The 15,299-nt window shown below is 34.9% G+C and overlaps 1 protein-coding gene across 16 annotated transcripts in view; it reads left to right on the top strand.

The window, feature by feature from the left end:
- Positions 1-15,299, top strand: part of DIAPH3 (diaphanous related formin 3) — a 498,346-nt gene that overhangs the window by 224,772 nt on the left and 258,275 nt on the right. For 15 of the 16 annotated variants that reach the window (XR_002957478.1, XR_002957480.1, XR_941672.1 and 12 more), the window contains one exon: positions 14,287-14,382. Coding sequence is in view for 11 of the 16 variants with exons in the window: in NM_001258368.2 (NP_001245297.1) it covers positions 14,287-14,382 (96 nt within the window). In the remaining 5 variants the exon portion in view is untranslated. Of the gene's footprint in view, positions 1-6,341; positions 6,497-14,286; positions 14,383-15,299 lie in introns of those variants that run through there. The other variant, XM_017020789.1, reaches the window with a different exon arrangement.

The following is a 15,299-nucleotide window of genomic DNA, read 5'->3' as shown; positions in this document are numbered from 1 at the left end:
ATTTTAAATGATCCCAGTTTGGTCTGATTAATTTTACAGCCACTTAGATTTTTGTTCTTCATTTGACAAAGCAAAATTTTAACTACATGATTCCTACATAAATTTTCAAATCAAGAGGTCAAATTAAAATGAGTGATTTGAAATCAAGCCTCATAAAGAAATTTTTTTCTATTTTTAAATGTTGTGGTTAAGAATACATAACAAAATTTTACCGTTTTAACCATGTTTAACTGTACAGTTCTGTGGCATTAGCAACACTAACGTTGTGCATCCATCAGTACCATCCGTCTTTAGAACTTATCTTCTCCAGCTGATACTCTGTACCCATTAAACACTAACTCCCCATTCTCTACTCTCTCAGGAAGATTATTTTTAAAAATATCATTTTCTAATCACAATATAAAATGAATCCTGCTAGTCTTCCTTTAACCTCACCTCCTTATACTACTAGGGAAGTGTATATGGAACATTTGGGTTGCAGTTAGATGGTACAGTGGAAAAGAGGTCTGTATGTGAGCTGGGCATTTTATTAATTTTTTTTTTTTTTCCAAACAAGGTCTGCCTCTGTTGCCCAGGCTAGAATGCAGTGGCATGATCTTAGCTCACTGCAGCCTCAAACTCCTGGGCACAAGTGATCCTCCCACTTCATCCTCCTGAGTAGCTAGCACTACAGGTACATACCACTATGCCCAGCTAATTTTTACGTTTTTTGTGGAGATGAGTACTCATTTTGTTGCCCAGGCTGGTCTTGAAATCCTGGCCTCAAGCAATACTCCAGCCTTGGCCTCCCAAAGTGCTGAGATTACAGGCCTGTGCCACTGCAAGCCGGGTGTTATAAATAGCTATATAGGATGTACACAACACAAGCTCCAGCCAGAAGGTAAGATAACATAGAACTACAAATTTTAACAGCCCAGATTAATAAAAATTCCAAATTCAGGAGATTGTGGGGACAGAAACTAGCACAGAATAGTTTATTCTAGAACACAGATCAGGCAAATAATGGAACTCCAATTAGCTAGACCAATTGGAGACCAGAATGATCTGGAATGCTAACTGGGGCATTATTCTTAGAGCACAGAGAAATAAAGATTTAATAACTGAGAAACTGGGCAAGTGACTTGAATTCCCAACTGAGCTATCAAAAACAAGAACGTAAAAGCAGAGAGAGAGAGACAGGATAACTACGTATCAGAAAGTCCAGATAATAAAAGTTGAGTTCAGTTGAACAAATACCTAGGTATTGTCTCTACCTTCTCCTCCTCTTTTCTACCCTGGCACACCCACACTCCATTCCCCACACAATAAAGCATTTTCTTTCTTTTTTTGCTTCCCGTCCCCTCCCCTGCCTCCCCACCTCCCAAAACAAGATCACAAAATTATAGGCATGCTGTCATCAAATATAGAAGTAAGTTTATTGTAAAATTCTACTACTTAAGCTTGACCATTTTGCTGTCAGTCAATTCTTTTTCAGTATTTTGGAATAATGGTCATTTTTGTGTCAGATCACTTCTCTTCTATCAAGTTTTGGATAATCACTCTGGCTGTTTTGATGATTGTGTTCTGTTTTCCCCAGGAATATGCCAGGATGGTCTGCCTATGATTTAATGTGGCATTGCTTTTTATCTGTTTGTTAATATAATGTATTGTTACTTCTTCTAGTCTCAAGTTGCTTAGCATTGTGTGTACAAATACTAGTAAGCTGGTTTATCAACTCTTTCCATTCGACACCATGCTAGAGATCCTGAATTACCTGTGTTATCATTTGGATTTAGTTCTTCTAAATTAGGAATGTACACTGAGTTCTCACTCATGACTTTTCTCCTCTCTTGTACTTTCTTTTGTATATGTCTTCGTATGTCATACATTAACTTTCAGAGTTGGTTTTGTAATTTATTCTAGCAGAGATATATTTCTACCATCAGAGAACATATGAGAGAATGTTATACGTAAAAATAGTGGAAAAATTATTATTATTATGTTTTTTTTTTTTTGAGATGGAGTCTTGCTCTGTTGCCCAGGCTGGAGTGCAGTGGTGCAATCTCAGCTCACTGCAAGCTCTGCCTCCCGGTTTCAAGCCATTCTCCTGCCTCAGCCTCCCGAGTAGCTGCGACAACAGGAACCCGCCACCACGCCCAGCTAATTTTTTGTATTTTTAGTAGAGATGGGGTTTCACCATGTTAGCCAGGATGGTCTCGATCTCCTGACCTCATGATCCGCCCACCTCAGCCTCCCAAAGTGCTGGGATTATAGGCGTGAGCCACCGTGCCCAGCTGGACAAATTAATTTTTATGAATATACATGTATGATTCCATGACTGGGAAACACCAACATTCAAGAAGAATTCACAGGGGCCAGATACTAGAAGTATTTCTTATGGTGGTGAGATTTTGAGGGCACATAAAAATTTATGGATGTTTTCTGGAGAAGTTGTGATGAGCCAAGATAGATGATGTTAGAACAGGATTCAGTTTTCCTTCAGTCGGGTTTTGAACTCTCTTTCCTGATATCTTTTACTTTCTTCTCTCAGTCCTTAGATCTATTCAGTCAGAGCTCATCTCAAATTGTAATGAACCCAGTTAACACTAAGATATATGTGATAGATAGGCTTAACTTTTCAGGATTATTTTTCTCCCTAATCCACAGCTTGTGAATTTAAAAAGTTGTTTCATCTGTTATTTTGAATGGTGTTAATATTTTATTTGATTTGAACTCTTGTTTTTCTGCTAGTTAAATCTTTGGTTATGAGGGGGTGATTATACCCAAGGAGACCTCAATAAAATGGTTCTTTTTGTAGGGGTCGTACTTTTGAGATGAGCAAAGTTGCTAATTATTATAATTTAGAAGGTCCTTGGATATTAAGCAGTTTTTATGAAATATTTTGATTTTTAATTTCATATAGGATTAAAGAGGTAGGGGAAGCATTCTTTAGGTAGCCTTTGTAAAAATCTTTATTGTTTTGAGGTATGTACTTTAAGTTTTTTAACAAGGTATTTCCCGATACTTTAACAGTTCTTTTGTACATATGACTATGGCTAAAAAAAATCTAGATATACCCATAATGAAGGGTTTATTAAGTAGTGAGATTCTTATTCCTGTCCATGTAGGACTTGACTTGCAGAAAAAAGACCTTCAAGACTGTTTGTTTTGTGACATTGTCTGCTAAAACAGAATGTCACAGAAAGAGAAATACGCATTTATCTGCTACATTTTTTATGATTGCTACAGTTGAAATAATCTGTTTCACAAAATTTTATTTAGGGCTTCAGCTACTCTTCCTATATATTATATAATTCTTAGCCTTGAATTGTCAAACAGACTTCTTTTTGCTAGTAAAATATCCTGATTAGTTATGGCAGTCATATATTAGTATTTGAATAGAAAAATAGCCTATCTGTTTCTCCACTGATTATTTTCTATGTAGTTAGGTACACACCCATTTATTTATGTGCCTAGAAATATTAAAACTTGGTTTGGGAAGCCAGATATGACTAAAGTGATTTATACAATGTGATTTTCAATACCAAAGCATTTACTTCGATATTTTCCCAACGGTCTATTGCCATCTCATAAAAACATTCCAAATTTTTTGACTTTTTTTCCTATGTATTCTGTATCATTTGCTTTTGAGCTACCTAAACCTTCTTTGAAACCATATTGTCCTATCAACCACCTATATTGTTAACTCTCAGAAATTTAGTTTTTTTCTCAGTCGTTTGCCTATTCTCCATTTCTGACCTTTAAGTTTATCAAGTGTATTCCATTCTACTATATTGCTGAATAACTGAACCCTATCCAAAGCAAAGTTACCCACTACTTGAGAGGTAGTGATAGGCGCATTCTTGACTTTTCCTTTGGAACCAGAGTCATCCTTCTGTATTTGCAGGGGATTATTTCCAGGAACCCAACAGATACTAAAATCCACACATACTCAAGTCCTAAAGTTGGTTCTGCCCAGCCTGCAGTTGACCTTGCATATCCACAGGCTTTGCTTCTTGAGAATACTGTAGTTTCAGTCTGTGTTTGGTTGCAAATGGGAGTCTGTCAATATGGAAAACTGACTACATTTATTGAAAAATACCTGCATATAAGTGTACCTGTGCAGTGCAAGCACGTGTTGTTCAAGAGTCAACTGTGTAGTTATTTCCCAAAGCTTTAAATCCTGTTTATTGTGTTCTGGAGACTAAACATTTCTCTTCCCTCCCTCAGGCCTATTCAGTTTCCACTAACTGTCCTGGTGAACATGTACAGCAAGGGAAAATTTGGATCAAGTGTAAATGCAAAGTGTGGGGAGTTATCCTTTCTAATGTGCTTGGTTGCAGACTGCTTTCCTCATGCAAATTCCATGTCCCAGAGGATGCTCTAGGCTTGCTGTGTGGTGGTCAGTTCCTGGTCTCAGGTCTGCTCATAGCCAAGCCTTGTGCCACCTTCAGCATGTAGCTTATATTCTCTGCTTAGGTTTCCTGATTTATAGAATGAGGTGGTTAAAGTCCATACTGAAGGGCCGTTCTGGTTCAAAAATTTGTATCTTTCAAATTTTGATACTCTTTATCAGCCTCTTAGAATCTCATGAGTTAGAAGGCAAAGAAAAATAACAGCCATTATGCAAGTAATTCATAGATATCTCCCCATTTGAAGACTGTCAGGGACTGGTGTTTTTCATTTTCTAGGTAAATTATTTTGCTTACTTTATTTTTTTAGTTGAGTTGAATTTATTATCTTCTCTCTGTGTCATAGAGAAGAATGCTTGCTTATTTATTCAGATATACTTATTTTCATACTCTTAAGGCTAGTGTAATTACAGTCTATTTAGAAAGGTAATTTATTATAAACATTAACATGTAAAATTTAATAATATCTATGCTAAAGGCATACCAGAAAAAAACTTAAAAGGCTTAATATTTTAAGTGCCTATTGTCATAAGATACATTTAACCAGGGAGCACCAACAAAAGCAGAGTAAACACTTATTAGTAACATTTACTGATTTAAAATACTCAGTTATAGAAAGAGAAAACTGGTTTTTATTACCTTTTATGCCTATACTGACTACTAAAACATTTAAGACTGCATATTCTGAGGTGTTTTTTCTTTTGCAATGGTGAAATAATGTATGATAACATTTATATGAAATCTTACTCCTAAAAAGCTATATTTTTAATCAATCTGATTAGTACATAATGGAAAATGAACTGGAATAATATGTATAACCATGTGACATGGAATTATGATTTTTAAATGGAAAATTTAGTATGAAAGAAAGGATTTTGAAATGATATTCTTTACATAATTTTGCTACTATTTTTGAAACTTTGAAAATAGAAAAAGAATGAAGAGAAAATGTAATTAAAAGAGACTTTTTCAGTTCATGGCTCTTGGCAACATAGGAACTTTTGTCATCTTTGACTTCATTCTGACATAAAACCCTTATAAAATGCTGCATATGCTGTGTTAGTGATCAGAACAGTTTTTGAACGGTATTAATCTTCTCTTGGAAAAATGGAGCCTTACACAGCATCTCTAGGAAGTAAGATTAAACACAAAACTCTAATGGCAACAAAGCTAGATCACAAGTATAGATGGCACTAATAATCTGACTTTATGATTCAGAGTTTCATGTTATATTTGAGAAAATCTAGTCTTTCAGAGTAAGTGTATTTTGTACTGGCTTTAGAAGAGTAGCTCCACCGATTCATGGGTTTGAGCCTGAAGTGTGCTTTACTCTTGAATGCTAAATTGTGTTTATGGACTCTGATCGTACTCTTCTTTGTCACCACAGGGGGAGGGTTACATGAAGGTATTTATCATCTCATTTCATTTTCACAACTACTCATAGAGGGCCAGTATCCCTATATCATAGGTGAGCAATCACAGCCATAATGAGGTTTAGCTACTAGCATGTGGCAGGCTGGGATGTAGAACCTGTTGTCAGGATTCCAGGCCTGAGTTCCCAGACAGAGGACCCTGCCCTTCCTCCAGGCATGCTAGTATTTTACCAGAGGTATTGCCAGCATGGCTAGCAGAAATAGTATTTTGTACAAAAACTTCATTCTCACTAAATGTCCTCCTTTATTCTCATTTGTTTTTAATTCATCCTTATTGTTGCCAACATTTATGTGCGGCTTTATCAGTGGTCTTTGCATAAAACATTTTTGCTGGTTTTCCACTGATGCAGCCCTGATTGCATTAAAAAATAAAAAACAAACAAAACTTTTGTTATCTCTCAATATGAAAGATTTTTCCAAATCAATCTTTTTGTATAATAGACTCATTATCTGGCTTCATATCAACAAAAAAGTATTTCTCTTTTGGTTTTAAAATTTCTGTTGTTTTCTCTCTTAGGCAGTTCTGCTTCTTTGTATCCCTTTGTCCATATTCTCACTATCTAAGTTCCATTGATCCTTTGTCCCAACAATCCTATGACTATATGATAGCAGTGAAGATGGTAGAAGAGGATTACCTTACTGGGTATATACTCACCATCCTGAGTATGCTGATACATTAAATTAAGTGAGTCTAATTTGTCATTTTTATTTTCAAAAGGTAGAATTGGTTAAATTATATCAGTGTCTTATTTGGAGGTTGAAGTGGTGAAGGTTGCTTGTATTTGTTTTTTTTTAAACTGTGACACCTAACATACTTCATAGATAGTGAAAAGAATATTGGAGTCCAAGTCAGGTGGTCATCATTCTTTTATCAGATTTATTGCTTAAAATTACCCTAAGCGTTATTTTTCCTTATTGTGATGATGATGATGACAATGATACTAGTAGTAGTATTAGGATGACTATAATGAGAATTATATAAGAAACGGAAACAGAAAGCCTTCAGTGCAGTACTTAATAGGGGTTCAGTAAATGTGATTTAAAATTTACGGTTACTTGTGTCTTTGACGTTTTTCTTTAGGTAGACTACGAAATGTTTCAGAATGTAAAAGGATACTGATAATGATGAGAAAAGTAAACATTTTAAAAAGTTACAGTCTGCTCTTAAGAATAAAGACAAGAAAATAAAATGTATACATTTTCTGAGAAGTTGAGGATTGCTATTTGGTCAGGTTAAGGAAGGGAATCCTACTAACTTTTTTATTAGCCTTCATCTGAAAATTTTAACTAATACAACAAGACCAGAAACAAGTTTTAAATTCTGGGAATAAGGAGATGAAAGTGTTGTTATATGGTATCTGGAAAACCTGTGACAGTTAGTGGAGTAGTTACTAGGATTGATACCTGTATCATCATTCCCATTTTCTCTTCTCCACATCTGTATGTCCAGCTGCCTCTTGTACATGACTAATGTGGATATACAAGAGCTTCTGTAACTGAACATGTTTTAAACTGGACTAGTCCAAACCTGTTCCTCAACTGTTGCTGAATTAAATAAACATCACCATCGTTTATCTAAATAAACATCATCATTATCATCTATCTGATTGCTTAAGCCTGAGTATCCTCTTTATTCTCTTTTACTCTGCCAATTCATACATACATACACACAAGTGACCACATGTATGTCCATCCAAAAGATATTTGTTGAGCACCTGATGTGTTCCAGGCTTTAATCCTGGTGCTAAGAATATAGTGACAATCAAAGTTTCTGCCTCTAAGGATCTTATCTTCTAATGGAGGAAGAGGGACAATATCAAATTTATGATATGTAAGGAGTAAGTGCTTTGAAGGAGAAAAAAGTCAGAACAATGGTGATAGAGAACACCAGGTGAAGAGTTTGCTTTCTATATAAGGCAGTAAGGGAAGGCTTTGCCACTAAGTTTTTAACAGGATTCATTTGCTGCACTGTAGTGGAGAGACTACAGCTAGTCAAGCCTGAAAGCAAGGAGACTAGTTAGAAACCGGCTGTGGTCCAGGTGAAAAAATATGTTGGCCACAAAAAGAGAAATTGTAGCCAGGGCAATGGTGAGGAGTGATTACTTTAGTGAATATTTTGGAGTTAGAATCGACTAGATTCACTGATGGATAGGATATTATCGTGAGGGGAATAGTAGCAAAATTCAAGCGTTTGACTTGAAAATAGCAAAAAGAACATTCCCATTTTTTAAGCTGAAGAAAATAGTTGGGAGAGCAGATATGGAGGTAGGCACGTATATGTCAGGAGTTTGCTTTTGGGCATGTTAAGTACAGGTGCTCATTAGACATCCAAATAAAGATGTTGAGAGGGAGCAGTTGGTTATTCAAGTCTGGAGTTCAAGAGACAAATTTGGGCTGGATCAATAATTAGTCTATTTCCCACTACAGAATCAACTTTTGGAACTCATCCACACTCTCCTTCCCTGTTGTTATTGCCCTTGGTGAAGGTACCATTGACTTTCGTTTGGATTACTGTAACTTCCTTCAGTCTTGCCCTTCTATTGTAATTTTTGCCATTCTTCTAATCCACCTTCTTTAGCCTGAGTTTTTCCTAAAATATAGTTATCCTGATGTCTCATGTGCTTAAATCTTCAGTGGCTCCTCATTAGTGTGAGAATAAAATCCAAATGTCTTAGCCTGGCTTAAAATATCTTATGTGATCTGGTACCTGACTCATTTCTGGTGTCATTTATTTCTGTTTAATATTTTCTGTTCTTATTATCTTCAAGTCTTTCAGTGCCTTTAGAGTTTTTGCACCTTTACACCTTCAAATACTATTCTTCTATTGTTGTGTCTTTCCCACATACCCCCACCTTCTTACCTGGCTGACTCATTTTTCCTTTCAAGCTTTGCTTAGGTATTTATCCCAAAAGGATTATTTTTGACAAGCATAGTTAGGGTGCTCTTCTTTATTCTTGTGTAGTTTTCACTATAACATCACTAATACATCCATGTATTATAATTGTCATTTATTTTATAGTCACTTCTATTAGACCTTAAATTCTTTGAGGCAAGGAATTTCTCTATCTTGTCTAGCATTGTATCTTTGTTGCCTAACACAGTCTCTTTTTAGTTGCTTAATAATTTTTTTTATCTGAATGAAAGACAAAATAAGTAAAATCCTGATTATAAAACATGTATACAAAATTAGGCAAAGTTTCTACACAATACCTAGGAGTACAAATGTCCTTTGGATACCTAACACTTAACATAAAATATACAGGTCATGTATGAAGAACACTGTGCTAAGTTGAATAATTATAAACACATGCCATGTTTATGATAAGGAAGTTCAGAAATTGTCAAGATATTAAATCTCTCAGAATCTATTTGCAATTACCTTGCAATTCAAATACAGTTCAAATGGATTTTATTTTTAGACCTTTTGGATTGCTCTAAAGTTCATGTGGAGAAATAAATGAGGGCCGGGCATGGTGGCTCACACCTGTAATCCCAACACTTTGGGAGGCTGAGGCCGGTGGATCACTTGAGGTCAGGAGTTTGAGACTAACCTGGTCAACATGGTGAAACCCTGTCTCTACTAAAAAAAAAAAATACAAAAATTAGCTGGGCATAATGGCATGAGCCTGTAAATCCCAGCTACTCAGGAGGCCGAGGCAGGAGAATTGCTTGAACCTGGGAGGCGGAGGTTGCAGTGAGCCGAGATCACACCGCTGCACTCTGGCCTGGGCGACAGAGCAAGACTCTATCTCAAAAAAAAAAAAAAAAAAAAAAAAAAGAACAAAATTTAGATATGGAGAAAAATAATTTGAACAGCCAATGAATAAAACGTATCATAAATCTATAGTACTTAAGACAGGGTGATAGCAGTGTTAACAGTAGCACAGAGAATAATGTAGCAGAACTAGTAGCCCAGAAAAATAGAAATAACTTATCTAGACACTAATTATATGATCAAAGTGTAACTTAAAATCAGTTGAGAAAGATGGTTAATTATATAAAATGACACAGAAATATCAAATGTTTTGAAAAATGGAAAATTTGATTCTTACCTCATGCTATGTACCAAAATATATAATTGTAATATACAGGTTGAATATCCCTTATCTGAAATGCTTTGGACCAGAAGTGTTTTGTATTTTAGATTTTGGAATGTTTGCATAATACTTACGGGTTGAGCACCTCTAATCCAAATCTCTCTAATCTGAAATGCTCCAATGAACATTTCCTTTGAACATAACCTTTGAGTGTCATCTTGATACTCAAAGTTTCAGATTTTGGAGCATTTCAGATTTTGAACTTTACCTTTAGTGATTTACATATCTACCAAAACACATTGCTACACTCTTCTTTCTTATCAAGTTCCCAATTTTGTCCAATAGCGACCTCGCCACCTCCAGTGTGGGACTGCCATACGATCACATGTGCCACCTGACTGTTACTGCCATTCCCCAAGTACAACCCCCAGGGGCCCAAGGACTAGTCTTCCCAGAACCTATGTTTGCTGCCCCGGGGATGAAGGACTGATGTGACTAGGGCCTGCTGGTATCCATATACATGCCACTTGGGCTCAAGGACAGACCCACCTTGGGTTTGGCTCTTCATCTTCATCACTATGAAAGTCATACCAAAGCCTCCACAAACAACTGCAGCCTAAGCCACTGAGGAAATCTCAGACACTGCTGATGATTATAGCTGAAGAAATCACACAGAGACTATGTGGCTGCTCCCACCCAAAACTCCAAACACTCTACTTAATCGATGCTGTAAATACATCTGCAGGAAAAAGTCTTAGCTTATTAAAGCTACTCTATAAAATTAGAAGTGATTATTAGAGGAGGTGCACAGATATCACTTTAGGGACACACAAAAAAATCTGAAAAAGAAAGGAAACATGATACCTCAAAGGAACATAGTAATTCTCCCATAACACACCCCAAATAAAAAGAAATTTATAAAAGACCTGAAAGGGAATTCAAAATAATGATTGTAAGGAAACTCAGTGAAGCGCAGAGAACACAAGTAGACAATATAAAGAAATCAGGAAAACAATTGATTAGAATGAGAAATTCAACAAAGAGATAGATATAAAAAAAGAGCCAAATAGAAATTCTTGAATCAAATAATTCAATAAAGGAAATAAAAAATATAATCAAGACCTTCATCAGTAGACTAGACAAGGACAAGAAATAATTTCTGAGTTTGAAGATAGGTTTCTTGAAATAACCCAGACAAACCAAAAAAAGAAAAATAGAGAAAAAGATTTAAAAAGTCTGCGTGACATGTGGGATAAAATTAAGCAAATATATATTTGTGTTTTGGGATTACTGGAAGGAGAAGAGATGGGAAAAGGCATAGACAACCTATTTAATGAAATAATAGCTGAAAACTCTCTAAGTCTTGGGAAAGAAATAGACATCCAGATACACGAAGCTCAAAGATTCCCAAATAGATTCAACTCAAAAACTCTTCTGTGAGACATATTATATTCATATTTTCAAAAGGCAAAGGCAAAGAGTGATTTATAAAAATAGCAAGAGAAAAGTGTCAAGTCACATATAAGAGAATGCCCATCAGACCAACATCAATTTTTTTTAGCAGAAAATTTACAGACTAGGAGAGAATTGGATGATACCTACAAAATGCTTAAAGAAAATAACTGTCAGGTAAGAATGCTTTACTCAGTATAGCTGTTCTTCACAGGTGAGGGAGAAATAGTCTTTCCCAGCCAATCAAACACTGAGGGAATTCATCACTGCTAGACTCCCTGCTTAAGGGAGTCATATATCTGGAAGCAAAAGAAAGCTGTATCTACCACTGTTAAAACACATAAAAGTAAAAAGCTCCCTATAGAGCAGACACACAAATGAGAAAGGATGCAAATATTGTTATTACAGAAAACCACCAAACTACAAAGATAAACAGAGAGGAAGAGAGAAACAAAGGATATACAAAACAATTAGAAAATGATCAACAAAATGACAGAAGTAAGTGCTAACCCATTAATGACCTTGATTATAAGTAGTGTAAATTCTCTAATTGAAAGTTATGTACTGGCTGAATGGATTAAAAAAATGGGATGCAAATATATGCTGTCTACAATAACTCACTTCACCTGTAAAGATAAACAGTGACTGAAAGCAAAGGGATTGAAAAAATGTAATGTATGTAAATGAAAAGTCAAAGTGTGCAGGGATAAGCTATACTTGTATCAGTCAAAACAGACTTTGTCAAAAAGAGATAAAAAGAGACAAGATCATTATATAATGATAAAGGGACCAATTCAGCATGAGAATATAACAGTTTTAAATGTGTGAATGCCCAGCGCCAGAACACCCAGATTTTTAAAGCAGATATTATTATATCTACAAGGAGAGAGACACTCCAATATAGTTGTAGTTGGAGAATTTAACTTTCAGCATTTGTCAGACCATCTAGGGAGAAAATTGTCAAAGAACTATCAATCTGAAACTGCACTGTAGACCAAATGAATCTAATAGACATTTACAGAACATAGCATCCAGTAGGTGCACAACACACATCTTCTCTTCAGCTCATGGAACACTCTCCAGAATAGACCATATGTTAGGCCAGAAAACAAGTCTCAACAACTTGTAAAAAATCAAAATTATATTAAGTATCTTTGTAGCTCACAATGGAGTAACACTAGAAATCAACAACAGGAACTTTGGGAACTTTACAAATAATATGGAAATTATACAGCTTGCTTCTCTAATGTCCAGTTAGACAATTAGTCTCAATGTCCAATATGTTATGAAGAAATTAAGAAAATAAAAAATATTTCTGAAATGAGTTAAAGTAGAAACAAAATATACCAAAACCTTTAGAATATAGCACAAACAGTACTAGGAGGGAAGTTTGTAGCAAAAAATGCCTACATAAAAAATAGATTTCAAATCAAGAACTTAGTGATGTATTTCAAGGAACTAGGAAAACAACAAACCAAACCCAAAGTTAGTAGAAGGAAAGAAATAATAAAGTTCAGAGCAGAACTAAATGAAACAGATAAAAAAAGAAGACACATTGCTGGGTGAGGTGGCTCACACCTGTAATCTTAGCACTTTGGGAGGCTGAGGTGGGAGGATCACTTGAGGGCAGGAGTTCAAGACGAGCCTGGGCAATATAGTGGGGCTCTGTCTCTATGAAAAATAAAAAGAAATTAGCTGAATGTGGTGGCACACATCTGTAGTCCCAGTTACACGGGAGGCTGAGGTGGGAGGATCAATTGAGCCTGAGAAGTCAAGGTTGCAGTGAGCTGTGATTATGCTGCTGCACTCCAGCCTGGGTGACAGAGTGAGACCCTGTCTCAAAACAAACAAAAAACAAACAATATGAGATTAAACAAATGAAAAGTTGTTTTATTTTTAAATTAAATTGATAAACCATTAGAAGAAAAAGAGAAAACCCAAATGAATAAAATCAAAATCAAAAAAGGAGATATTACAACTGATACCACAGAAATAAAAAGGATTGTTAGAGTCTAATTATGAACAAATGTTTGCCAACACATTGGAAAACCTAGAAGAAATGAAGAAATTTCTGGACACGTAGCTACCAAGATTAAATCAGAAAGAATAGGAAACCTGAGCAGACCAATAATGAGTAAGGAAGTTGATCAGTCTTCCAACAAGACTGGATGGCTTCACTGTTGAATTCTACCAAGGTTTTAAGGAAGAACTAACACCAATTCCTTTCAAACTATTCCAAAAATATGAAGAGGAGAGAATTCTTCCTAACTCATGCTACAAGGCCAGCTTTACACTAATACCAAGACAAGACGAGGACCCAACATAAAAAGAAAACTTAGACCAATATTCCTGATGAATTTAGATGCAGAAATCCTCAACAAAATAGTAGCAAAACAAATCCAATAGTACATCACGAAGATAATACAGTATGATCAAATGGGATTTATTTCAAGGATGCATAGATGATTCAACATTCACGATCAATAAAATTTATTCTGTTAATTTTTCATAAGGTATGTTTTTAAATAAGAATGGTATTGTATATTAGACATAAAATGACTGTTTTAGTTAGCATTCTTAGAGCTAGCTTCATAATCCAATTAATATACTTGCAACTTGAGTGCAGGTGTTTTAATTTTTATAACTGTATCCTGTATGCTATTCAAATGAGCTAATTGTAGTTATTCTTATACCCATTGGTATTGGTTTCCATAGTATACATAAGTTTTATTTTTGTTTTTCCTGTTAGACCTTCAAATATTTACTTTCCATAGTTTCTCTGGCATAAAAGCTCCCAGTTTCTATCTTCAACAGTTCAGGTCTTGGGATATCTATCGTTTTATTTGTTTTTATAACTTTTATTTAGAAGAGTTACATCCTTTTTAGCTTATTTAATGATAAAAAGTTCACTTTTTCCACTTTTGTATTTGAATGAATTGCTGCCCCTAACATGGATCTATCTTGGTTTTACAGAGAGAAGAGAAGAGGAAGATATTGAAGAGAAGAAATCGATTAAGAAAAAAATTAAAGAACTTAAGTTTTTAGATTCTAAAATTGCCCAGAACCTTTGTAAGTATCATATTCCAATACCATTCAAAGACAGTGGAAATATTTCTTTAAATGATTTCATTTTCTTTAAGACCGATTATTCATTATTTGCTATTTTCATTTTGTTATTATATGCATGATAAATTCACAGATAACTCTCCTTTAGGTAAATTATGGGATTAAATGCTTCAAAAGATAAGTGCATATTAGAAAATACAAATAAGAAGAGGTTTTAAAATGAAATTCTACCTTTCATAACTGAAAAAAAAAAACAGCTACTCTTTAAAGTCCCTTTTTTTAAAGTATAAAAATAAAGACTTAAGGAATTTAGGTAATGACATCATATTTTGAAAAAAATTGGTAGTGTATTGCTTCTTTTATAACTCTGAATCTCTAATATTTGTGATACTTGATCACACATAAAGGAGGTTATAATATTAACGGAAATAAGGATGGTGAGTAAAGTGAATTCAGTTATCCCATCTGAGCAGTTCAAAGCCTTTCCTCAAAAGTTCTGAGTAGAAATATTTTAGATTTAATTACTGTTACAGGAGCTAAATACTCAGTATTAAATTATCTTCTTGACCAAATTACTGTGAGAGAAGAAGGCAAATAGTTTTGCTCTTAACTCATTTCTAACTACTCTAAATGCATCAAAGGTAGTTATGCTTAGAGATGATATACTATGGTCTGTATATATCACTTTCTGATGGTGCAAGAGGGATATGAATAATGGGGAGAATCTAGAGTGATGAAGAATTAACATGGTTTTTAGTCTCCCTCAATTATTACATGCCTCAACTGAGCTTTTAGCAAGTATTGGAATAAAACAGTTCTTCAGCGAGAGGATAAAGATCCATGCTACTGATTAAAGAGAGAGTTATGTTAGAGGCAATATATTCAAATGGTAGAGTTGGCATTCCTTTTATGAAAATTTC

This window comes from Homo sapiens, chromosome 13, assembly GCF_000001405.40.
Source record: "Homo sapiens chromosome 13, GRCh38.p14 Primary Assembly".
Taxonomy (NCBI): domain Eukaryota; kingdom Metazoa; phylum Chordata; class Mammalia; order Primates; family Hominidae; genus Homo; species Homo sapiens.
The sequence above is the reverse complement of the archived record's forward strand: the minus strand, read 5'-3'. Positions and strand labels throughout refer to the sequence as shown.